Source organism: Homo sapiens, chromosome 9 (genome assembly GCF_000001405.40).
Source record: "Homo sapiens chromosome 9, GRCh38.p14 Primary Assembly".
NCBI classification, from domain to species: Eukaryota; Metazoa; Chordata; class Mammalia; order Primates; family Hominidae; genus Homo; species Homo sapiens.
The window spans coordinates 41,544,151-41,571,828 of NC_000009.12; the positions used below are offsets into that span (position 1 = coordinate 41,544,151).

Below are 27,678 nucleotides of genomic sequence, written 5' to 3' on the forward strand. Positions count from 1 at the left end.
GCCGGCTTGCATCATGATCTGGAGGCTCTTGCAGCCTCTTGCTCTATCTTCTCTTTATTCTTCAAAGGCGTTTTCTCTGGTTACTCTCTTATACGTGTAATTCCATCTTGGTGTCTGATTCTTGGGAAACCCAAACTGGCTTATAATTTTTCTTACTTTCAGTAAAACCTTCTTTGCTGATGCATCATTCATTAATTCATTAAATGTATTGTGTTTTGTATGGGAAAACAATGATGCCAAAGTGTCTATAGCTATATAGTCTGATATATGCTATAATAAGAATTTGGAAAAAGTATTATTGGTTCACAAAGGCAGAAATTTAGGAGGTTAGATACATTTAAAGTAAAATTTGATTAAAAAGTGTGAACTTAAATAGATTAAGATAACATGGGGTGTTTGTAAAATATATTAGTAAAATACAATGACATACCCAAAGTCCTGTTAAATCAAATTAAATATGGCCTGAGAAAAACGCCATACTTCTATATTTCAGTCCTTGTGAATGAACTGCAACCTAACTCAATAGGTACACAAGACTAAAACCTAACTTAGGAATATGCGCCTGTAACAATCGCTGAGTCTTGGCCAATTCCAGCAGCCATACTTCAACTAGTCGCATACAGCTGAGTGTTCAAATAAGGCAAGTGCCAAGCCATAACCAATCCAGCTGTTTCTGTACCTCACTTCTGATTTCTATGCGTCACTTTACTTTGTATTGTCTATAAATTCATTCTGACCATGAGACACGCCTGGAGTCTCTCTGAATCTGCTGTGATTGTGGGGGCTTTCCAATTTATGAATCATTCATTACTCGATTAAACTGTAAATTTATTTTGGCTGAAGGTTTTTTTTTTTTTTTTTTTTTTAGCAGTCCTCACCATAATGATCCATACACGTAAGTGTCTAATATAATCTTTCTAGCTTTCTTTTTTGGTTGTGTTTAGTCATACTGTTGCTGATTCAGCTTTGTATAAAATATCAGAGCAAAATGACTATCAATAATACAGAGATCTGCAAGAATTCCCACACAGGTGAAATATGCATGGTGGAAAGAGGCAATTCTTAAGGCAAAGAGCCAAGCATGTACCAAACACCAATGCCCTTGCATACCAAAGCTAAAGATTCTACAATTTGCCAAAGATAAGAATGTACCTTTCACAACAGCAAGGACCTCATATATTGTCTTATTATATATCCCTAAAATCTAGCACAGTGTTGAATAAGAGGAAGTAGAAATAATTTTGAGAAGGAATTAAACATGTATTTGTAGAAGTCAAGTCTTACCCATTGAAAAAGTATCTCCCCCATATTTGTAATTCATTAAATTGTTTGGAAGGGAAAAGAAACTAAAGGGAATACTCCATAGGGAAAGTTGTTTCAGAAATTATGCAAATTTATTCTAATAACTAAGAAATAGTGAAAATGTATTAGAAATGTTAGGTAGAGGCACATTTCAGATTTAGACTAAGGTGCAAATGGCTTTCTACTTAATGATAGAGAAAAGCATAAATAAAAGTACATTGTATACATGAAATGGTTTTGTTTGAATTGGGTATAGAATATCAAATGAGAAATATATAGTAAGGAATTGAATATATGGAAATACAGATATAGACGGCCAGAGCACCTACTTGTAGCTCTTGATAGCAGAATTATCAGTCAACTGAAAAGATATTTTAAGACCTCCAAGAATAAGTAGATAATTTCTATTCTGTATTTTGTTAATGAAAGAAAACCAGGGTAATAACTGCTTGAATTTTCATCACTAGCATGTTTCCTACATACATAAACATAGTGAGTAGTGAGTATATTCACATATAAAGTAACAAAGAATTATAGTAAACCCCAACATCCAATCGGGAAAAATGTTGTAACTCTATATATTCATTAAATTGCTCACAAACTGACATCTTTTAGCATATAATATGGTTTCCTTTAGCTTGTTAAAGAGCATGGACTCATGACTAAAACATAAGAACACCCAATGAAGCTCAACTAAATCAATTCAACTATGAAAAATAAACTGACTAGTGATCATCTCTTTACTATTATTGAAAGAATAACTTACAAGTAAAAACATTCAATTTTTGAAAACAGCTTTATATTTATTGAATTTATGCATATAACGTTAGTTGCATTTCAAAATAAAATGGCTGCCTTAAGTGATGCAAAATTACATATTTATACATTCTCTGAATTAAGCAGGATTAATTGAAAAGTGGATATGAAGGCATGACTGCAAGCTACAAATTGATCCTATTTTTAGTAACTTGCTCTAGCTGAGATGTTATATGTTCAGATTTGTTGACACGAAGCTTTATTGAGAAGCATTACTTATTCCCAATAACTCAAGGAGGAGCCTGTTTTGGGAGGAAAAACCACATCAAGTATGTTTTGTTGAATCAAGAGGATTTTATTTTTAGAAAACTACTAATGATTTTTTCTGAAAATGTGACTATTTTGAAATCTAAGAAAAATCAAATATTTGATACTTAACGTAATTTGCAACTTGACATAAAACTACTCAGTTTAGTTGGTCATAATATACTCATTCCTAACTTATTCCACTTTACAAAAAAAGTAAAAGAAAAGCATAAATAAATAAATAAGGAAAGAGAAACAAACAAACAAAAAACATTGGAAACTGACGAGGTAACAATTTATAGAATCAAGGATTAATTTCCACCAATTATGGCATGAATAAAACTAATCAACTAAAATATATTTTAAAAATCAAGAAGATAGTAGGAAAACAGCTCCCTGAGGACCCCTGGAACAGTAATTAGGCAGGCACTCTTTGCCTGTTGGACATTACCATTTTCTTTAATGTTTGTATGAAACGATGCCAATTTATCTTTAAGCAATTTATCTTTAAGTTGCTAAAGTGATGCAAACGGCTGTCATGTAACAATCACCAAGAGAGGACCCATTCTAGTTCACAAACTGCCCTGATGCTTTTTATAAAAAACAATCCACTTCAGGATAATGTGTTGTTCCTGGTTTCTATGTCTCTTTAACTTCTTTAAATCAGAAGCATTCCATAGTCCTTCTTCAACCTTCATAGCATCCTAAACATTTTTTGAAGGTAATATTCCAATGGATTCTATTTTTAGAATGTCTCCCAATTTCGATTTGTCTGGTGTTTTCTCATAATGAGGTGTCAAGACATGCATTATTGGCAATAAAATCACCAACATGATGCTATGCTCTTCTTATCATATTTCTTCAGGTTATATATGAAATTAATTTTTCCCATCAGTGGTGATTTTAATTTTGATCATTTGAAAGGTAATGTCTTCCAGATTTCTCTATTGCAGAGGTACTCCTCATTTTCTTTATATTAATATAACATGACATAAAATGATATTTTTTACATATAGACTATCTATTGTATACATGTATATACACATGTAATTAATCTAAAATTAAGTGTTTTGCGGAGAGATACTTTGAGAGTGTGAAAATATCCCATTTCTTCTCCAACATTTACCCACTAGGTTTAGCATCCATTGATGCCTCAACACTCAATCAAATACAATGTGAAAATTTTCAAATGATAATTTTTTAACATACAATATCAACCCTTTTCCTTTTATTGGTTGGCACTCTGTGGGAAAATAATAGTGTTTCCTTCTTTTATTCATTCATTAATTCGTGGATTTATCTCACGTGGACCCATGGATTCCTATTTCTTTCAGTGGCCCATGATCTGTTCCTTTACTTATTTTATTGATTCAGTTTTGCTAATTTTGCTAGTAGGAACTATTCAAGTTTCTCAGCTCTTTTAACATGTCTTTCTTAGCATTTGAGCACTCCCTTATTTTCCTTGTTATTTTTTTAATCTCAGATTATGAATAGTCATTGCAAATCTATCAAAATATACTGGATTTCTGTATATTATTATTATATCCTGTGATCTAGATAAACACACAATTTTACTAACTTTTTTGCAAATATCTTTTTTATTTTCTGCACAGAATATAATAATATCTGTGAAGAAAGACATCTTTCTTTCTAAATTGTATGTATTCTTACCTCTCTCATTGCATTGCTAAGACGTGTAGTATAAGCTTCAAAAGAATTTATCAGAGCAAGCATGCTTGTCTTTTTCTAGGTATCGGGGCAAAAATATTCAGTCACCTTAATGTTATTGGAAAGTTAAGGTCCATAGTATAAACCTTAGAGCACCTACCTAACAGGACAAAATAAGCAAAAACATATGACTAATAATCTATTAGTTGAAATAAAATAAAATTCAAAATTAAACACTTAATCCAAGGTAAAGCATCAAAAGTGGAAAATAGTAATAAAGAACAGATTAAATTTTATGGAAAATAAATTTTATGATAGTAGATTTAAGGTCAAAATATAGATAACAATATTAAATATAAGTAGTCTAAAACTACTATTTAAAGTAAGAATTTTAAGACTAAATTTAAAAAGTAATGTTAAATCAATATAAAGACAAAGGTTGGTCAGAAAAAATAGGTTGAAGATAGCTGTACTTCACCATGATACAGTAAGAGGAACTAAACTAAATTCTTTACAAAACAAACAAACAAAAAACAAAAAAACACACACACAAATAAAAACTAACTGCAGACAAAATATAATCAACAGTGATTTTTTAACCATTGACAAGAAGCTGAGGATGCTGATCCCTGATAAAAGAAAAAATAAAATCTTATTCCAAGCTTTCTCTCAGTTTCCAGAAGACACAGTGAAAGGATAATCCAAAGAAAGGATAACTCTCCCTGTATATTGAGAAATTGAAGATTGGGGCTTAGAAAGGAAAATTTAGCTAGAATTGCAGAGCTAAATAGAAGAGAGAGAACATTTGCACAGAGATGGTGATACGGTATGGCTTTGTCCCCACCCACATCTCATCTTGAATTCCCATGTGTTGTGGGAGGGACCAGGTGGGAGATAATTGAATCATGGTGGCAGGCCATCCCATCCTCATGATAGTGAATAAGTCCCACAAGATCTTACGGTTAAATAAGAGGGAGTTTTTCTGAACAAGCTCTCTCTTTGCCTGCCGCCATCCATGTAAGATGTGACTTGCTCTTCCTGGCCATCTGCCATGATTGTGAGGTTTCCCCAGCCATGTGGAACCATAAGTCCATTAAACCTCTTTCTTTTGTAAATTTCCCAGGCTGGGGTATGTCTTTATCAGTAGGATAAAAATGGATGAATACAGGAATATAGGAAGTGTCTGCTTTTTCCTGGCTTTTATCTTTGCCTGTAACATTCCACCCCAGAGGCTCACATGGCTTCTCCTTTCTCTTCAAGTCTTGCTAATCATTCCTTGTTGATTCCTTAAAATCAACACATATAAATGTGTATCCCTTTCTTAAACAAGAGATCCCTTTCATCCTTTACCTTTCTGTATTTGTTAGTAGAATTAACCATCTGCTAGTATACTATAAAATTTACTTATGTATTATATATATTATCTATTCTAGTGATATGATTTGTCTCCATTCCCACACAAAATCTCATCTTGAATTATAATCAGATTTATAATCCCCATGTGTTGGGGGAGGGACCTCCGGGAGGTGATTAGATCATGGGGTGGTTCTCCCATGTTGTTCTCGTGATAGTGAGTGAGTTCTCATGAGATTTGGTGGTTTCATAGAAAGCTTTTACCCCCTTCACTCTGCACTTTTCCTTCCTGCCACAATGTGCAGAAGGACATGGTTTGCTTCCCCTTCTGGCATGATTGTAAGTTTTCTGAGGCCTCCCCAGACCTGCAGAATTGTGAGTCAATTAAGCCTCTTTCCTTTATATATTAACCAGCATCTAGCAGCTCTTTATAGCAGTGTGAGAACGGACCAATACAACAAGTGAACAGGTATTTTTGCTTATTGTCCATTGTCAAAACCACTTATTTATTTTTACATTGACTATTGTCTATCTTCTATGGTTTGTTACCTCCAACAATAAGGTAATCAAGGGTCAAAATTTTTTGTTTATTCAGTAAAATGCTCTCAGTGAATTGGGCATTGGGTGGCACAGAGTAAGTATTTAATGTATCTATTAATTTTGTATATAAATGAATAAATTTTCTAAATTTTGCTAATAATGTTAATAGAAGACCCAAAAAGTATAATCAGTAAATTAGTTGTATTTTGAAGAAAAAAAAGTTAATCTATGTAACAAATTTATGTAAAAATTCTCAGGATATACACTTGAGTAATAATCACTGTAACATTTACCTATTTAAAAAGAATGAAATTTAACAGTGAAGGCACCTGAGTCTGGAATTTGTTTCCCCTAAGAAGGTATTAAATTAAAATTCAGTATCTTTAATAAATCTAAAGATATGAAGAAATTTTATTTATTCTAGAGTAATTGTAAAGATTATTTTGCTAACCATACAATTTATTCAACCATTATCAAATTTATTGGCATAAAGTTTTTATAATTTAAGTTATTATCATTTCGATATTTGTAGTATCTTTACAACACCTACCATCTTCCCAACCTTGCCCACTTTATTTCCTGAAAGTGGTTGCTGACAGATTTCTGTCTTTGTATCCTTCTCAGACTATCTAGAATTTAATTCATTTTATTCCTTTTATCAAAGAATCAGCTTTAAATTTCATCTTTTCCTTTTGTATTTCTGTTATGTCTTTATAAAATTTTAGTTTTTCTCTATATTTTACTTTCTACTTCTTGTTTAATTTGGTTTTATTTTCACTTTTTCAGGTAGACATTTGTGTCATTAATTTTAGACATTTCTCCTTTTTCTAATATAAACATTAAAAACTTCGTATTTCTCCAAAGGAATCCTGAAGTTGTAGTGTTTTTATTTTTATCCAGACCAAAATACTTTCTAATTTATCTTTTGATTTACTATTTGCTACAAGGCATCATTAGAAGTTTATTATATCTAAATATTTGGGGATTTCATTGTAGTTTTGGTTTTTTATTTTAAATTTAATTCTATTGGGTCAGAGAACATACTCTCCATGATCTAATCCTGTTAAATTTGTTGAAAATTTATTATTTGTTGCCTAACATGTGATGAATGTCAGTGCACTTGGAAAATAAAATAAGTTGTTGCTGGTGATGAGTATAATATTCTATGCATCCTAGAACTTGTTAGGTTATAATGTCATTAAATTTGTAGATATTTTCTTTAAAATTTTTTATTTACTTGTTTAATAATATCAGAAAATAGTTTTCAAATCTTTAAATATATTGTGGATTTGTATATTTTTCTTTTCAATTCTGTAAGTTTTTGGCTTGAGTATTTTAAATGCAGAATTGTTTGTTAATGTGTGAAAAAACATTTTGCATTATCAGGTTCTCTTGATGAATTGGACCAATTATATTGATCTTTATCCTCCTAAAAATATTTCTTGATTTGTGGCCCATTTTGTCTGATATTAATAGAAGTCTTCAGTTTTTATATACTTAGTAGTTATACCATAGAAATACTGCCATCCTCTTATCTTAAAAGACTCCAGAAATTTGAACTTTCATGTAAAATATTTTCAATATTAATTTATAATATTTTATAACATTACCTAGTAATTTTGAAAAAATATTTGTTATTTATATAAAAAGCCTACGGAGATTTGGACTGATATTGCAATTAATCTAGAAATCAATTTAGTAGAACTACCTTCTTAACACTATAAAGCATTCAAATTATTGAACTTGGTTTATCTCTCCATTTATTTAGGTCTGCCTTAATGTCTCTCAGCACTGTATTGCAGTTTTCTAAGTATCGAACAGAATGGTTCATAGTGGATATTTTTGCATTCTTTCTTATAGTAGGAGGAACCATTTGGTATTTCACTATATTAACTATTTTTATATATGTTTATTACTTTTGAAATAATTTGTTTCTCTTGCCTACTTTTCTGTAAGTCTTTATTATGAATATGTGTAAAATGTCATCAAATGCTTTTCTACTTTTAATAAAATAATCCTATAAAAATTTAATATCCTTGATGAACATTGATGCAAAAATCCTCAATAAAATACTGGCAAACCGAATCCAGCAGCACATCAAAAAGCTTATCCACCATGATCAAGTGGGCTTCATCCCTGGGATGCAAGGCTTGTTCAATATACGCAAATCAATAAATGTAATCCAGCATATAAACAGAGCCAAAGACAAAAACCACATGATTATCTCAATAGATGCAGAAAAGGCCTTTGACAAAATTCAACAACACTCCATGCTAAAAACTCTCAAAAAATTAGGTATTGATGAGACGTATTTCAAAATAATAGGAGCTATCTATGACAAATCTACAGCCAATATCATACTGAATGGGAAAAAACTGGAAGCATTCCCTTTGAAAACTGGCACAAGACAGGGATGCCCTCTCTCACCACTCCTATTCAACATAGTGTTGGAAGTTCTGGCCAGGGCAATTAGGCAGGAGAAGGAAATAAAGGGTATTCAATTAGGAAAAGAGGAAGTCAAATTGTCCCTGTTTGCAGATGACATGATTGTATATCTAGAAAACCCCATTGTCTCAGCCCAAAATCTCCTTAAGCTGATAAGCAACTACAGCAAAGTCTCAGGATACAAAATCAACGTACAAAAATCACAAGCATTCTTATACACCAACAACAAACAAACAGAGAGTCAAATCATGAGTGAACTCCCATTCACAATTGCCTCAAAGAGAATAAAATACCTAGGAATCCAACTAACAAGGGATGTGAAGGACCTCTACAAGGAGAACTACAAACCACTGCTCAAGGAAATAAAAGAGGATACAAACAACTGGAAGAACATTCCATGCTCATGGGTAGGAAGAATCAATATCGTGAAAATGGCCATACTGCCCAAGGTAATTTACAGATTCAATGCCATCCCCATCAAGCTACCAATGACTTTCTTCACAGAATTGGAAAAAACTACTTTAAAGTTCATATGAAACCAAAAAAGAGCCTGCATCGCCGAGTCAATCCTAAGCCAAAAGAACAAAGCTGGAGGCATCACGCTACCTGACTTCAAACTATACTACAAGTCTACAGTTACCAAAACAGCATGGTACTGGTACCAAAACAGACATATAGATCAATGGAACAGAACAGAGCCCTCAGAAATAACGCTGCATATCTACAACTATCTGATCTTTGACAAACCTGAGAAAAACAAGCATTGGGGAAAGGATTCCCTATTTAATAAATGGTGCTGGGAAAATTGGCGAGCCATATGTAGAAAGCTGAAACTGGATCCCTTCCTTACACCTTATACAAAAATCAATTCAAGATGGATTAAAGACTTAAACGTTAGACCTAAAACCATAAAAACCCTAGAAGAAAACCTAGGCAATACCATTCAGGACATAGGCATGGGCAAGGACTTCATGTCTAAAACACCAAAAGCAATGGCAACAAAAGACAAAATTGACAAATGGGATCTAATTAAACTAAAGAGCTTCTGCACAGCAAAAGAAACTACCATCAGAGTGAACAGGCAACCTACAAAATGGGAGAAAATTTTTGCAACCTACTCATCTGACAAAGGGCTAATATCCAGAATCTACAATGAACTCAAACAAATTGACAAGAAAAAAACAAACAACCCCATCAAAAAGTGGGCGAAGGACATGAACAGACACTTCTCAAAAGAAGACATTTATGCAGCCAAAAAACACATGAAAAAATGCTTATCATCACTAGCCATCAGAGAAATGCAAATCAAAACCACAATGAGATACCATCTCACACCAGTTAGAAGGGCGATCATTAAAAAGTCAGGAAACAACAAGTGCTGGAGAGGATGTGGAGAAATAGGAACACTTTTACACTGTTGGTGGGACTGTAAACTAGTTCAACCATTGTGGAAGTCAGTGTGGCGATTCCCCAGGGATCTAGAACTAGAAATACCATTTGACCCAGCCATCCCATTACTGGCTATATGCCCAAAGGACTATAAATCATGCTGCTATGAAGACACATGCACACGTATGTTTATTGTGGCACTATTCACAATAGCAAAGACTTGGAACCAACCCAAATGTCCAACAATGATAGACTGGATTAAGAAAATGTGGCACATATACACCATGGAATACTATGCAGCCATAAAACATGATGAGTTCATGTCCTTTGTAGGGACATGGATGAAATTGGAAATCATCATTCTCAGTAAACTACTGCAAGAACAAACAACCAAACACCGCATATTCTCACTCATAGGTGGGAATTGAACAATGAGATCACATGGACACAGGAAGGGGAACATCACACTCTGGGGACTGTTGTGGGGTGGGGGGAGGGGGGAGGGATAGCATTGGGAGATATACCTAATGGTAGATGACGAGTTAGTGGGTGCAGCGCACCAGCATGGTACATGTATACATATGTAACTAACCTGCACATTGTGCACATGTACCCTAAAACTTAAAGTATAATAATAAAAGAAAAAAAAATTTTTTTAAATCAAAATGTAGGTCTGTAGTTTTCTGTTAATCTCTACCTATTTTTTTCCTTTAAGGGTAATCTGTACCTCATATAATGTATTGTTAGGGTTGCTTCCTCTTTTATTTCTGGAAGACTTTGCATAGAGTTGTTACTATTTATTCTTTAAACATTGTGAGAATACAAGAGTGAAACCTTCCTGACCTGGAATTATTTTGTGTGTGAGTTTCAAATTATAGATTTAATGTATTTAATAGATGCAGGATTATTCATGGTGTCTCTTTATTTTTAAGTGAATTTTGTAACCTCTTTTCTCTCAAGTAATGTGTCCGTTTACCAAACTTTTAAAATGTATTTGCATAAAGTTTAAACATTGTATGCTTACTATCATTTTATAACCTATAGTATAATTAGTGACAGCCTTTCATTACTGGCTTTAGTATTTAGCATTTTTTCTCTTTTTTGTTAAGTATAGCTAGAATTTTTTCATTTTTTAATAAATTAGCTTTTTATTTTATTGATATTCCATTTTGGTGTTCTTTCAATTTTTATTGATTTTTGTTCTTATATGTATTTTATTATTTCTTTGTACCTTAGTACATTTCGACTGCAATAGAAAAATACCTTTTTGTTGTGGCTTATAAACAACATAATTTTATAATTTATAATAACATAAACTTATAACTTATAAATTTACTTCTCATAGTTCCGGAGGCTGAGAGGTCTGAAATCAAGGCTCTCAAATATTTGATGTCTGGTGAGGGCCCATTTCCTGGTTCATAGATGGTTCCTTCTCTCTGCATCTTCACATAATGGAAAGAGCAAGGTAGCTCTCTGGGGTCTCTTATGTAAGAAAACTACTCATTTACTATCCTTAATGTAGTACTAATTTAGTACCCTTATAAAAGAGCCCCAGATCTCTACTTTCATGATCTAAGCACCTCCCAGAAGACCCCATCTCCTAATACCATAAGTTTGGGAGTTAGGATTTCTACATAGGAAATTCGAGGAGACACAAACATTCAGACAACAGCATTCTGTTTTGTTTGGGTTTAATTTGCTTTAGGAACTGATTAGATTCTTTTTTCTTTTCTAACATAAACACATGGCACTATTACATTTATCTAATTCTTTATTTCTAAAAAATTTTTAATTATTATGGATACATAATAGTTGCACATATGTATGGGGTACATATGCATACAAGCATACGACATACAATTATCAAATCAGGATTCTGATATTCATCACCTTAACATGTATAGTTTCTTTGTGTTAATATTGTTTAGTTATCTTAATAAATTGACCCCTTTATAATCAGTGAGTATATTTTCTATCACTAGTAATATATTTCATTCTGAAATATATTTAGTTTGACATTAATATAGTAACTCTAGTTTTCTATAAATTTTTGTTTGTACTACACACACAGATATCTATGTATTTATATTTGCAGTAGAATTTTAGTAGACAGAATTAGATTTCTGATTTTTCATTGATGTGTATGAATGATTTACATGTAATGTAATGTGATTATGAATAAGCTTAGGTTTAAATATACCTTCTTGCTATGTTTTCTATTTATCTTATATGCTCCTTGTTCAATTATTTATCCTTTTTTTAAATTTTGTAGATTAGTTAAATATGTACTTCATTATTTTGTGTTATTTCTACTATTGGTTTACTAATGTACTTCTTTTTTAGGTTCTGCTTTAAGGTTTAAAATATAAATACTTCTGTTTTAAGGTTTAAAATATAAATACTTCTACTTTAAGTTTTAAAATATAAATACTTAACTCATCACAGCCTACTTTCTTTTTTTTTTTTTTTTTTTTTTGAGACGGAGTCTCGCTCTGTTGCCCAGGCTGGAGTGCAGTGGCGGGATCTCGGCTCACTGCAAGCTCCGCCTCCCGGGTTCACGCCATTCTCCTGCCTCAGCCTCCCAAGTAGCTGGGACTACAGGCACCCGCCACTACGCCCGGCTAATTTTTTGTATTTTTAGTAGAGACGGGGTTTCACCATTTTAGCCGGGATGGTCTCGATCTCCTGACCTCGTGATCCGCCCGCCTCGGCCTCCCAAAGTGCTGGGATTACAGGCGTGAGCCACCGCGCCCGGCCCACAGCCTACTTTCAAATAACAGTATATCACTTGATATGCAGTATAATACATTGCCAGTTTTTTTCTGCAGACACACATATACATCTCATAAAATTTTACTTCTGCCTTAGGAATCTTTCTTATAAATGACAATGGAGGATGACTGACAATGAAATTCTTTAGATTTTGTTCAGTGCTGAGACAACGTTGAGATGAGCAAATTTTACCTCTGGTGAAACACTTAATGAGGCACTCTCTCGGGTCACACAAGGCACAAGTCTTGCACTCTCAATCTCAAATATATAACTCTGAAAGTGAGTAGCTCTTTAGGTTTTGGGACCTAGTTGTGTCATTTTCTTTACCCTAGTTCCAAACCTATTTTTAATTTTCTAAAAATAAATGAGCCCTATTTTGCTTTAGTGCTTAAAATTTTCTACTTGTTATAAAAATGTAGATAAAGCTGTTTTTTATTATTTAATTATTTATGATTGCTCCATTGTCTCCAAGCTTTCATAGTTTCTGAAGAAAATTGCCCGTATTTGTGTGTTTGTGTGTGTATTTCTTTTGATGTGGATTATTTTTTCATCTCTGATGCCTTTTAAGATTTTTCTCTTTCTCACTGATTTTCAGAAATTAGACAATAGTTTACCTTGCCATTTTGTCTTTATTTGTGATTCTAATAACATTTTGGCAATCGTTTCTTCAAATTTTTGGTTTTGTTCTTCCCTACCACATACTCACACACATACATCCACTCAGTGTTCTTCTGGGACTCCATCTCTTCTTGTATTATGCTGCTTGATATTGTCAAACACAGTGTGGTTGTTTTTTCAAATGTGTCTATGTTTTCTGTTTTGGATAGTTTATATTGTTATGTTATCAAAATCACTGGTATTTTTTCTACAATGGTTAAAGTGCTGTTAAATTTATTCATACATTTTTAATCTAATATAGTTATTTTTTCTGTTTTAGGAGTCTGCTTGTTTTTATTTCTTCCATTTTTATCTTCTCGTAATATACATATTTTCCCATCTTATTTGAAAAAATAAAGCATATTTTTAACACCTGAATTAACATGTTTCAACGCTAATTATTATGTTCACCAAAACCAGATATTGTGAATTCTATATTGTTATGTGATGGATTTTGTTGAATTCCTTTTGTATATTTGTATTTTGTTCTCAAACACAGTTAAATTATTTGGAATCAGTTTGATGCTTTTAGAGATTGCTATAAAATTTTCTTAGAGAAGATGTAGAGTTGCTTTAGGTTTAGGAATGAGTGAGTTCCATCACAAAAGCAGGATTCTTCCAAAGATTCTACCTAATAGCTCATACATTACCCTGTCTTCTACTTTGGTTTGTGGCAACAATAATATTTGCAGAGCTTTCTGAGCTTTGAGAATTGTTCTTCAAACCCTTTGTGTTGGCATTTTACCCCAGGCTTCAGTTATTTTCTCTCATGTATTCACAGTTTAGTATTCAATGAAGGACTCAATAATTTCCTAGGAAGGTCTGCAGACACACGGTCATCTGTATTCATTAGCATGGGCTGCTATAACAAAATGCCATAGACTGAGCAGCTCATAAACCACAGAGATGTATTTCTCAGTCTAACCTCACATGGTGGAAGAGGGAGGGGTCTCTCTGGCACCTTTCATAAGGGCTCCACTCCCATGATCCAGTCACCTACAAAATTGCCCATTTTTTAATATTATCACCTTGGTGGTGAGAATTTTAATATACAAATTTGGGGAGGTCAATTAGACCAGAGCATAATTCTTGGCAGATAAAAGAAGCCATAAGAAAGCTGGTGTGATAAGACCAGAATGAGCCAGAGGGAAGTTTTAAGATACAATAAAATATTAGGCTAGACTATTAAAGTACTTTGTCATTAGAAATTATATCTTTCAGATGAAATCTACCCAATCCTTGCTTGTACATCTTGCTAAAGTTTTAACTTTTCCATTGATTTCATTATATTTGTCATGTCTTTCCTATCAATTTAATTTTCAATTATCTTCACTTCTTATACATACTGCTATATATTATTTAATCATTCTGCCTTAAATTATTTTGTGTACAGTTATAATACTTCAGCCTAGTTTACTAGGAACTCATTACAGTTGTTCCTCTGTATTTGTGGGGTACTGGTTCTAGGAACCCTCAGACACAAAAATCTACAGATGCTCAAGACCCTTCCATAAAATGATGTATAATAGTATTTTATACACCTACATCCACACTGTCACATACTTTAAATCATCTCTAGATTTCTTATGATACCAAGTACAATGTAAATGTTATGTAGTTAGTTATAGTGTGTTCTTTAGGGGATAATGACAAGGCAGAATTCCATATGTGTTCACTTTTTCATAAATGTTTTTCCAAATATTTTTGATCCATGGGTGGTTGAATCCACACATGCAGAACCTGTGGATATGGAGGGTCCACTGTACTTTTTTCTATCCTCCTAACTACATATTGGTTTCTATTTTTGTCTTTATTAAATCTTAAATTGTAGTCATACTACAAATTCGATCTTTTGTGTTGTTTCATTTTTTTCTATTTCTTGAACAGTATTCTGTTTCTGTTTCAATGCATTAGTATCCACTTATTTATGTTTACCAAAATATTACACAGTCAAATAATTCAGGAAGACTTTGAAAATTTAAAGTCAACAGATTTGTATTAGCCTCAATTATATCGTCTGTAATAAATCAGATTATCCTGTCATTAGGATTAAATATTAAAATCTATTTAAGACATCTTAAAGAATATTTGAGATATTATGTATACTTAATATGGATATTTGTTTTCTTCCCTTCATTTTCTGATTTATTTTAGCCTTTTCATTTGTATTGTTTTATGTACCTTACAGTTACATAAACTCCTTAGTATCTGGAAACTTGTCTTCTTATTTTAATGTGCCATTCATCTCCTTAGCACAATTTCTTACACATATATGTTCTACAAATGTTTATTAAATGAATTAGTGTCAACTACATGCATGCTTTATTCATTAAGCTGTCAAAGGATTGATCTGCTTTACAGCTTTGTCAAACTATAGAACTTTAATTCTTTTGCCATATTTTAAAAATAATACATGTTTAGGTAATAATAAAATCAATATTCATACTCATGAAATAACAGATTGTAAAAGCATTGTAGGCTAACCACATACATTTTGGAAAAGAAACTGAAATTAATTCTTAAATTCTTTCAAATTCTTCATCTTATTTACTCTTTTTGTTAAGTAAATGTTTATCTTGTATTTTAGTTTTAAGCTCTTAGAATCTTCAACAATATAGTTTTTTGTACATAAAATATTTAAATCAACTTAATCTATGTACATGTTATAAACTAAGTTCAAGTAAAATTACATAAAATGCAACAATGCATTTTATTTTTCTATTCATATTTTTCTAATAAATCTTGTAAGTTTAAGTAATTATTTTAGTTAATGCTATGAAATTCTACCTAGGCAGGTTAGGTGTTAATTTCCCAATTTGTATGCAAACTGAACAATTTTCTCTGGGTTCTTCATCATTTCATCTTTCCACTTAACTTTCTCTATTTTAACCCAATAATATTTATTGTATTTTCCCCATTTAAACTAATGAATAAAAATTTCCCTCAGTGTAAACTCTATGTTGATGTTTCAAATAGAATATTTTATTCCCTGTGTGTTTTGAGTAGTAGCACCTTTAATGTTTTATCTATTTATATTTGTACAAGGCATATTACACATCTGAAATGAACACAGTACTAATTAGCATAAAGTCAATGTTAGCCTTAGACTTTACAGGTAAGTCTACAGAATACAGAAAGAAAAAATATAATGTCATATGTACTTCTTAAACAGTTCTATCAGTGGAAAAACTGATGATGCATTCATGTTTTCCTCAATATTTAGTGAGGAGAGCAAAAATGAGTAATAAGGCAAGAAAAAATATCCGCTGCGTCACTGTAACAGGCACTAGATGATGAGGTCATAGAATGTATTCATCTTTATTTATTCAGAAATTAGCTCCATACCTAGCACATAAACACTCCCATCTCAGGTCTCAGTTCGCTTGTGCTTCTGTAACAAAATAGCTGAGACTGATAAGAACAGAAACTTGTTTCTCACAGTCCAGGAGGCTGAAAAGTTCAAAACCATGGTTCTGGCAGGTTTGGCACCAAGTGAGGTCCCAGTTTCTGCTTCTAAAATGGTAACTTGAATGCTGTGTCCTTACATTAGCTAGTTCCCTTCAGCCCTTTTGCAATGCACTAATCCCATCTATGAGTACAGAGTCCTCATGGCCTAATTACTCCTAAAGGCCTGACTTCTTAATACTATTGCATTGAGGATTAAGTTTCAAAATGGCTTTTAGAGGGGAGACAAACATTTAAGCTAAAGTATAATAATCCATAATTTTTGAATGAATGAACAAAAAGTCACTTGCATTTAAATGTGAAAAGGTAGATACTTTCGGTGTCAGTTATTTTCTGTACAATTGTGATTATTCCTCATAAAAATTCAGAGCAATCAGTTGGCTTTCAATTAAATTTACACATTAGTTATAAACGTTTTAAATGTTAACTCTGTTTCTACCCTTCATGATATTTAATATGTATATTAATTTTACAAGAATTACTTAAATAATTTTCTTCCAATTTTCTAATTCTCTTTCCCTTGTTGAAATGAGCAAACACACAAAATATCAAGTGACAGACAATGCATTGCTAATGTCTTACTTTGGTAAGATACTTTCATTAGTATTTCGAATAGAACTGAGATTTTTATTTTTATATATTTTTTAACCAAACCTGACTCATATTATAGATGATCTAAAGTATTAATGTAATACAAAACCATTGTATTTCTTGGCACAAAGAAAAAACGTGGGTCATGTCAAACACCTGCAATGACAGTAAAATCATGTCACAAATAGATAAGCTAATTATGTTGAAAAATGATTATGCACACACTATGTAAAGCATTGTCCTTTTCCTTTGTTGGAGGGCATTTATTCATAGACATCATGTGTACTTTCTTCCCAAAGGGTAAGGTTGACCTAGAACCCTATGGACGACCCTTTAGAGTTAAGCTTGCCAACTACTTGTCAGAAATGATTAGTGAGAAATGTAGGAAAGAAAATTTCCCCTGTTGATAACAGGGGGCAAATAGAAGATGCCCTGAAGTTGTCATAAGGAATCACATTTTTTTCAATAAGAATATTTTTTATTTGATAATATCTAATATCACAGATCAACCTTTATTTATACATATTCTAGACATGTGTTGAACTTGACAGGTTTTGGTAATAGAAAATTCTGTGGCAACTCACAAAAGAGTATGTGTGCATTGTAATCATCTTTATTATAAATAATAACTGTGTCTTTTTTTGATAAAATGAAGATATAATAAATCATGATTTCCCCTCAATCATATCTTTTAGAAACTGAGTTTATGTGTCTTTGGATTTATAATAATCCCAAACTCACGTTTTATGTTAAAATACTCATTAAAATGCGATAATTTATTACAACTTTATTTTGGATTATATTCTGAATGTTTTACAACATGAAAGCTAAAGAATGCTATACATTTTTTGAAACAGATTTATATAAGCCTCACAGTCTGTATTATGAAATTATTAATGTTAGAGTAACATTTTGATCTACTAGATTCATAAAATTAGTGAGAATTCTTCAGCTATTATTTTGAATCCTCTCTTTATATCTCTTAATAATACAGATAACACAGATTTGAGCTACAGGAAAATGTAATGTGCATTGTGTTTGAACAAAGTGTGTTATAATTTTGGATGTACATCAACCTATACTGTATCCCTATGTTGTGTAAGACTGAATATCCTAGATCATATTGGATTATTACAGTCAATAATATTTTACATTAAACATCAAAAAATAATATGGCATTCATTTACAACCCAGAAAAATGAGTAACTCCCAGGAGAAATTTAGTTTTCATTGCTCCTTATGCTAACAACTTTAAAGTTCAAATGCTAACTTTCTATCTCCATTTTATTTAGAATGTATAATAAATCTTTCATGAAAAAAGATGAATTTCTTTTTTTTTTTTTTTTTTTTTTTGAGATGGAGTCTCTCTCTGTCACCCAGGCTGGAGTCCTGTGGCGCGATCTCGGCTCACTGCAAGCTCCACCTTGTGGGTTCACACCATTCTCCTGCCTCAGCCTCCCGAGCAGCTGGGACTACAGGCACCCGACACCACGCCCAGCTAATTTTTTTTGTATTTTTAGTAGAGGCGGGGTTTCACCGTGTTAGCCAGGATAGTCTCAATTTCCTGACCTCGTGATCTGCCCGCCTTGGCCTCCCAAAGTGCTGGGATTACAGGCGTGAGCCACCACGCCCGGCCTCTATTTTTGAAAGTTACCTTTTGTCATTTTTTTATCTGCAGTAGTGTGGATTAGAAACCTGGCTCAGTCCTACCACTAAAATAATTCTTAAAAGTTGGTTGAAACATTAAAAAAATCTTGCTTTAGTGTCACAATTATCAGGCAAGAAGACAACAATTTTATGAAAATTAAGGTTTTACCTTGAGAGCATTCTCTGGTCCTGATAAGGATGAGGCCATGTTTCTTGGGACTGTAAAAAGCAGGGGACCAGAGACAAAGTTCAAAGTCCAGCCAAATTGGAAGTGTAGTAAGAGAACACTCTTACACTATTGGTGGGAGTGTAAATTAGTTCAACCATTGTGGAAGACAGTATGGTGATTCCTCAAGGATCTAGAACTAGAAATACCATTTGAGCCAGCAATCTTATTACTGGGTATATACTCAAAGGATTATAAATTATTCTACTCTAAAGACACAGGCACACGTATGTTTATTGCAGCACTATTTACAATAGCAAAGACTTGGAACCAACCCAAATGTCCATCAATGATAGACTGGATAAAGAAAATGTGGCACATATACACCATGGAATACTATGCAGCCATAAAAAAGGATGAGTTTGTGTCCTTTGCAGGGACATGGATGAAGCTGGAAGCCATCCCTCTCAGCAGACTAACACAGGAAAACCAAACACCACATGTTTTCATAAGTGGGAGTTGAACAATGAGAACACATGGTCACAGGGAGGGGATCATCAGGGAGGGGCTGCAAGGGGTGGGGGCCTAGGGGAAGGATAACATTAGGAGAAATACCTAATGTAGGTGACGAGTTGAAGGGTGAAGCAAACCACCATGGCACATGTTTACCTGTGTAACAAAACTGCAGGTTCTGCACATGGACACAGGGAGAGGAACATTACACACCGGGACCTGTTGGGGGTGGAGGGCAAGGGGAGGGAGAGCATTAAGACAAATACCTGCATGTGGGGCTTAAAACCTAGATGATGGGTTGATAGGTGCAGCAAACAACCATGGCACATGTATACCTATGTAGCAAACCTGTACGTTCTGCACATGTATTATTCCAGGACGTAAAGTGAAATATAAAAAAAAAAAAGAATGCCCTTTTCTGGGGTTCTCACTAATATGACCTGTGTAACTTGAAAATCCTCAGGACAGAAATTTAAAGTGATCTCATTCTGTTGATAACCCTGGGCCTTTGGTACAAACAAATTTATATAATCCTTTTGGGAAACCTATTTCAATTCTATCCTAAAATTATTTGCATAAATATACTTCTATTAGTTAGGAATTGACAGTAAAACAAAACAAAACACACAGAGAAAGATGGTGCATGAAAAGAATATAGGAGGAAAACAGGGAGATAAAAGAATCACATGAAGAAAGACTCCAGATACTGGAATTATAAGAATGTATAACAAACAAGTTTGAATTAAGTAAGAATTAAAATGAATGATTTAAAAGTTTAATTCAAACAATAGTAAACACACAACTGACACATTCATAATATATTAGAGATAGCTAAAGTGAGAATAACCACATAACGTAAAACATAGTTAAATTCACTTTGACTATTAAGAGATGTATAAAAATGAACAATAAAGAGAAAGGATTCAGTGATATGAAAGACAGAATGAAAATGACTATCATATATTAAACTGGAGTCTAATATATTCATTAGTGAGATTTACTGACATCCCTAATGAAAGACATCAAATTCTCAGATTCAGGAGAAATAAGACATTACACTCAAGATACATAAGATGAATTCATTCCTCGGCACACCTAAGTTTTTATCATAACCTGTACCTTCAATCATCTTCATTCTTCCTGACCTGATCTATTTTTCTCATCGTATTTACCACCTTCAAACATATGGTACACATCCTATTTACTTTGGGTATCTTATATTACAATATAATCTCAAAACAGATTTTGTTGATTTTATTTACAAGATGTAACCAAAGGGCCTAGATTATCTTTATAGCATAGTATATGTTCAAAATTTATTACCAAATAAATATAAAGTACATTTATGAAAGGTGAAGGAGAATATAAAACAGAGGGAAGATCTTCAGAACTACCACAACAAAATGACACATAACTTAAAAGTCAAAATACCAACACTGACTTCTTATCAACAGCAATAAAAAGTAGGAAAAAATTTGGAAAATATCCTCAATGAGTTTAGACACACTTCTATACATTAGAGGTTTATAAAACACAAAAACTCCTTTTATAAATGAGTCAAAATAATGACATTTTAGACAAAGAATAACAGAAAATTTATCATCCAAAAGCACCTTCCAAAGAAATTTCAAAAGACAAATTTCAAACAAAGGAAAATGATCACAGATAAAAGATTTGGGATAAAATAAATAATAATGAGAAAAATAGAATATATATGGGAGGTATAAAAAAGAAAATAAAATTTACTTCAATACAAAATTGAAATGTGTAAAGATGTTTTGGTGGGGGTCTCCATTGCTCTTCAGCTTTGATTATTTAAAAAACTCTCAGAACTCAGAGAAGCAATTATACTCATGTTTACAGTTTATTAAAACAAAAGGATGCAGAGTCATATCAACAAAGGAAAAAGATTCTCAGGGCAAATTCCAGGAGACTCCAGGAACAAACTTACAAGTGTCCATCACAGCAGAATCACATGCAGATACACTTCAATTTCCCAGTAATGCTGCATACAACCACATGTGAATTCTTGGCAATTAGAGCAGCTTATTTATTCTTTGATGTCCCAGGTTTTTATTGGTGGTTAATCACATAGGCATGCAATGCCCACGTGGCAAAACTTGGCAAATTCAGCTTCCTTTCCATGATCCCTCTAGAACAAAACCAGGCATTCAGCATAAATCATATCTTAGAATAAATGTATCTGGTTAAATTGATACTACATGGTTCAAATAAATACAGCATGGCTCAGGGCCTCAGGCATATAAAGTCAGTCATTCACCATAAACCCAAGGCCTCAGATATACAAAAACACTCTTCACGGTAGGACTATTTCCAGAACTCAGAGGCTAGCTAGTCCTAAAAACAAACCTTACCTTTGAATGTGCAGGGTTGAAGAAACCCTGGCCTGCTGAGTTAACACATTCTTGCCTAATCCATATTTATTGTCCCTGGTCTAATCTCTTCTGTAGCAAAACAATCATATTTTTCTGAGCATCTACATTGAATATGGCATTTATATGACAGTAACAACAGTAATATTAACATGAATATGCCTAGCATTTTATGGTCACAGTGTAGGGTAAAGATTGATTTTTAAAAATTACTAATGCATCCTACAAGGCCATTACATACACTTTAATATTTTGTACAAATGAAATTACTCATTCCTCCTCTCAATCTGCTTTTATTTTTACTTTTTGATAAATCTGTCCAGAACTATTTAGCATTGAAATTAGATAATGGTTAGCTAAATTCTGTTTTCTCAGGCCATTTATTATTCACCCAGATTACATTCTGAAGAGGCTTTAACTCAATATGTTAATACATTTGATTATCAATATAAGCATTATATAACTTCTCTACATAAGATAGTTGAATCTTACCAACAATGCTAGTGTAATGTCATATTGCAGTATGATCATGTTACAATTCAGTTTTATTACAGAAAAAGTTATTATGAATGATAGAGCTATTTGTTACAGCTACTCAACATAATTGGTTCTTGTCTTTATACCATATAGTATTATAAATAAGTGTTATTACTACTCAGCATGATTTGATTATTTCTGGGTTTCTAATGGGTTGTGGACTTAGCCAGTCACCTTGTCTTAGTTCACAGGCCCTAATTGACAATGGTCTCTACTATATGCTGTCATACACCAGGATACACTCCCTTCCTATAGACAAGACACAAGAATAAGAATAGTTTATATCTCTGCTACCTGTACTACAGGATGTCTTATCCTTATCTATTCTTGGGGCAATGGCAATAACAATGAATTAATATAAGTTATGAGTGACCTCAGAGATGGGGTCCCTAAGATTATATAAATGTGTCCTTCTGCATCTAAGAAGAACCATTACCTTATGGTTATTTAGGCCTCCATCTGTGTTAAAGTGATAAAGTGATGCTATTGAGTCATAATACAAGCTCATTACCAGTGTTGGGTCCTAGCATTATCCATCATTAATTGTTGAGTCTACCTTACCAAGTTCACTAAAACTTCATCATTTTTTCCAGGTTGAATCCCCATCCCTTCCTCTCTCATAGATGAGAATTCCCTCTAATCTATTTATTTTAGTTAATAAATCTTCTTTCCTTAAAAGCCATTCATGATTAAAAATGAATTCAGCTTTTCTCACAATGCCTAGATCAGCATCTATCTCCCTGAAGGTTTTTTTCTGTTAGTAGGCCAATGCTTAACCCAAGAGGGTTGTTGTCATTGTGTACTAGATTTAACTGGAATGAGGAACCATGTTTTACACTCCAGACTGTTTGGTTCTCAGTATGAGGATAAAAATAAGAAAAAACAAAACAACAAACAAACAACAAAAAAAAAAAACAAGAGTTCTCTACAATTTTCGAGAAACAGAAGAGGAAGAAATGCTTCTCAATTCATTTTATGAAGCAAGCATGACACTTAAACAGAAGAAGACAAAGATGATAAAAAAAAGAAAAGGAAAACAAACAAACAAAACTTTAGACCAACATAACCTAGATGCAAATCTACAAATATACCCTAGATGCAAAATCCTCAACAACTTGAATACGACACTATGTAAAAAAGTGACACATGACCAAGCCATGTTTATTCCAGAAATGCAAGACAGTTGCAATATTTTAAAAGATCTAATAATATAGTTCATCATATTAATATTCTAAAATAGGAAAATGCATGAACAGTACAATAAATGCAGGGGAAAAAGACACTATTCAACAGTTACTTGTGATAAAAATTCAGCAAACCAGAAATAGCAGAAAATTCCTTCATCTTGATAAAGAGCATACAAAAAATCCATCATATTTAGCTGTGAAACACTGAATGTTTTCCACATGTATGCTCAGGAATAAAGCAAAGATGTTTGCTTTTATCACTCTTTTTCAACATAATACTTAGAGTTCTATCCAGTGTGTAAGGAAAAAAAGGAAGAATAAAATAAATGCAGACTGGAAAGAAATAAGTAAAACTGTTCCTATTTGTAAATAATATGATTATATATGTAGAAATTTATACAGCATTTAGGAGAGAGAAGGAATGTAGAAAAGGGAGAGGAAGAGGGAGGCAAAAACAAAGGGGAAGGAGAAAGTAAAAGAACAGTGGAAGGAGAAGCAGTGTCTCCTAAAATTAAGAAGGATTTAGCAAGATTAGGACAAAAGGTAAAAACAGGTTTCCTGATATTTTTAATTGCATTTCAATAGCTTTCCAAACATAAATATTTCTCAGGTAGTTGAATGCTTTGGTCAATTTCGAGAGTGATGGAAGGCTGTTTTAATGAATTTCTAGTGGCCTTTTGTGTAGAGGATTTGCTGGTCTTTGCAAGTGACCATAGTCCACATTGATGGGTTGATTGAATATGGAAACCATCTTGAACTCCCAAGATAAATGCCAATTAGTAATGATATATTTTACAAACACACGTGCATGCACACACATACACACACATACATGAGAGGATTTAATTGGATAATATTTTGCTGAAGTTTTTGAAATCTAAATTCATCATCTAAATACATATTTGTCTACAGGACATTTTCTTGTAATGTCGTTTTTATGGTTTTGGTATGGGGGTAATGGTAGACTCATAAAACATGTTGAAAAGTGTTTCCTCTTATTATTTTGAAATACGTCCCATCAATACCCAATTTATTGAGAGTTTTTAGCATGAAGGGTTGTTGAATTTTGTCAAAGGCTTTTTCTGCATCTATTGAGATAATCATGTGGTTTTTGTCTTTGGCTCTGTTTATATGGTGGATTACATTTATTGATTTGCATATATTGAACCAGCCTTGCATCCCAGGGATGAAGCCCACTTGATCATGGTGAATAAGCTTTTTGATGTGCTGCTGGATTCGTTTTGCCAGTATTTTATTGAGGATTTTTGCATCAATGTTCATCAAGGATGTTGGTCTAAAATTCTCTTTTTTTGTTGTGTCTCTGCCTGGCTTTGGTATCAGAATGATGCTGGCCTCGTAAAAAGAGTTAGGGAGGATTCCCTCTTTTTCTATTGATTGGAATAGTTTCAGAAGGAATGGTACCAGTTCCTCCTTGTACCAAATGCTCACCATCACTGGCCATCAGAGAAATGCAAATCAAAACCACAATGAGATACCATCTCACACCAGTTAGAATGGCGATCATTAAAAAGTCAGGAAACAACAGGTGCTGGAGAGGATGTGGAGAAATAGGAACACTTTTACACTGTTGGTGGAACTGTAAACTAGTTCAACCATTGTGGAAGTCAGTGTGGTGATTCCTCAGGGATCTAGAACTGGAAATGCCATTTGACCCAGCCATCCCATTACTGGGTATATACCCAAAGGACTATAAATCATGCTGCTATAAAGACACATGCACACATAGGTTTATTGCGGTATTATTCACAATAGCAAAGACTTGGAAACAACCCAAATGTCCAACAATGATAGACTGGATTAAGAAAATGTGGCACATATACACCATGGAATACTATGCAGCCATAAAAAATGATGAGTTCATGTCCTTTGTAGGGACATGGATGAAATTGGAAATCATCATTCTCAGTAAACTATCGCAAGAACAAAAAACCAAACACCGCATATTCTCACTCAGAGGTGGGAATTGAACAATGAGATCATATGGACACAGGAAGGGGAATATCACACTCTGGGGACTGTTGTGGGGTGGGGGGAGGGGGGAGGGATAGCATTGGGAGATATACCTAATGCTAGATGACGAGTTAGTGGGTGCAGTGCACCAGCATGGCACATGTATACATATGTAACTAACCTGCACAATGTGCACATGTACCCTAAAACTTAAAGTATAATAAAAAAATACAAAGCAACCTCTTATTAAAAAAAAAACAAAAGTGTTTCCTCTTTTTTATTTCTTAAACTTTTGTGTAATGTATAAATTATATCTCCTTAAATATTAGTAAAATTTGTCAGTTCGTTTATCTAGGTGGGTATTAATAAATTTAAAACAGATATATAGGGATGTGCATGTTATTGCTTTCTTTTTGAGTTTGCCTTAGTTTGTGTCTTTTGAGGGATTTATACACTTAATCTAAATTAACTAATTTACATTTATAAATTTCATCATGGTATTCATTTAGTTATCCTTAAACTGTTGTAGGACAACGGAAATGTTACTTCTATCATTCTTTTTTTGTAGTTTATTTGTTTTGAGACAGAGTCCCGTTCTGTCGCCCGGGCTTGAGTGCAGTGGCCTGATCTCTACTCACTGCAAATTCCACCTCCCAGCTTCAAGCAATTCTTGTGCCTCAGCCTCCCGAGTAGCTGGGAATACAGGCATGCGCCATCACGCTCGGCTAATTTTTGTATTTTTAGTAGAGACAGGGTTTCACTATGTTGGCCAGGCTGGTCTGGAACTCCTGACCTCAAACGATCCGCCTGCCTCGGCCTCCCAAAGTGCTGGGATTTCAGGCATGAGCCACCACCCCCAGCCACTTCTATCGTTCTTAAAATTTGTAAATTATTTATTTCCTATTATTTTCTCCTTAGTCTGGCCAGAGATTTAACAATTGTATTGATCCCTTCAAAGATCTAAATTTAGTTTAATTTACTTAGCTATATAATTTTTCTCCATTTAATGTTGTTTATTTCTTCATTAACCTTTATTATTTTCTTCTTTCTGATTGCTTCATAATTAATTTGTTCTCATTTTTATAATAACAAGTTGGAAGCTTTCATCATAATTTCAAGGTAATTTTTCTTTTCTAATGCAAGCTCTTAATGGGATAGATTTTTCCCTAAACACAGAAATTTCCACATTTTGATATGTTATACTTTTTAAAATTTCTCTTACTTTTGGCTAGGTTCATGTTTAAATATACATATGTGCAAGAATATTTTCCCTTGATTTATATGGATTTAGAGGTTAAAAAAGACAAAAAAATTATTTTGGAAATTTCTAGGAGACTTAGTTCACCATAATTGTTACATAATTGTGCATATGTTGCAAGTAATGTATTGAGAAAAGTATTTATATCTGTATACATGTTTGGTCCTTAATGATGAAATTAATGCACAGTTGTCTAACTATAATAATTTCCTTATAATCACACTGGTTTTCCTTTGGTGCCACAAGATGATGAATCTCACTTTAGTGTGACCAAGCAAAATGAGGTACAAAAACAGTCCAATCAATGTGAAAATAGCTCAAATTCATTTGAATTTTAAAAATATTTCATATGTAAATTAAATTAGAAATTAAATATATATAATATATTTTATTTCAGAAATATTTGCTTGCCTTTTGGAACTCAAAGTTCAAAACCTTCTATTGTCATCTTTAAATAACTAATTTTTAAGTTAATTTCTACTTGGTTATATGAAAATACTACCACACAATGTGGAGATAAAGAAAACATTTACAGAAAAATTGTCCATATGGACACATTTTAAACAGATGATCTAATTAGCATAATAGCCACCAAACTGGTAAATAAACAGTTTTGTTGATTTGCTGCTTAATCAGCATCTATTCAGAATTCTGTAATATTGTTTAGTAAAACAGTTTATTTCCATCAATAAATGTATTTTATAAATTTATGCCCAGTAAACTTCCAGGTAAACCATCGAAATACTAACTGTTTTCTACAAC

At 33.0% G+C, this 27,678-nt stretch overlaps 1 long non-coding RNA gene across 1 annotated transcript in view; it reads right to left on the reverse strand.

Annotated features, from left to right (window-relative positions):
* Positions 1–21,560, reverse strand: part of LOC105376065 (uncharacterized) — an 82,523-nt gene extending 60,963 nt beyond the window's left edge. The window contains exon 1 of the long non-coding RNA XR_007061516.1: positions 21,522–21,560. This is a non-coding gene — a long non-coding RNA (uncharacterized LOC105376065). The remainder of the gene's footprint in view (positions 1–21,521) is intronic.
* Positions 21,561–27,678: the final 6,118 nt, after the last annotated feature.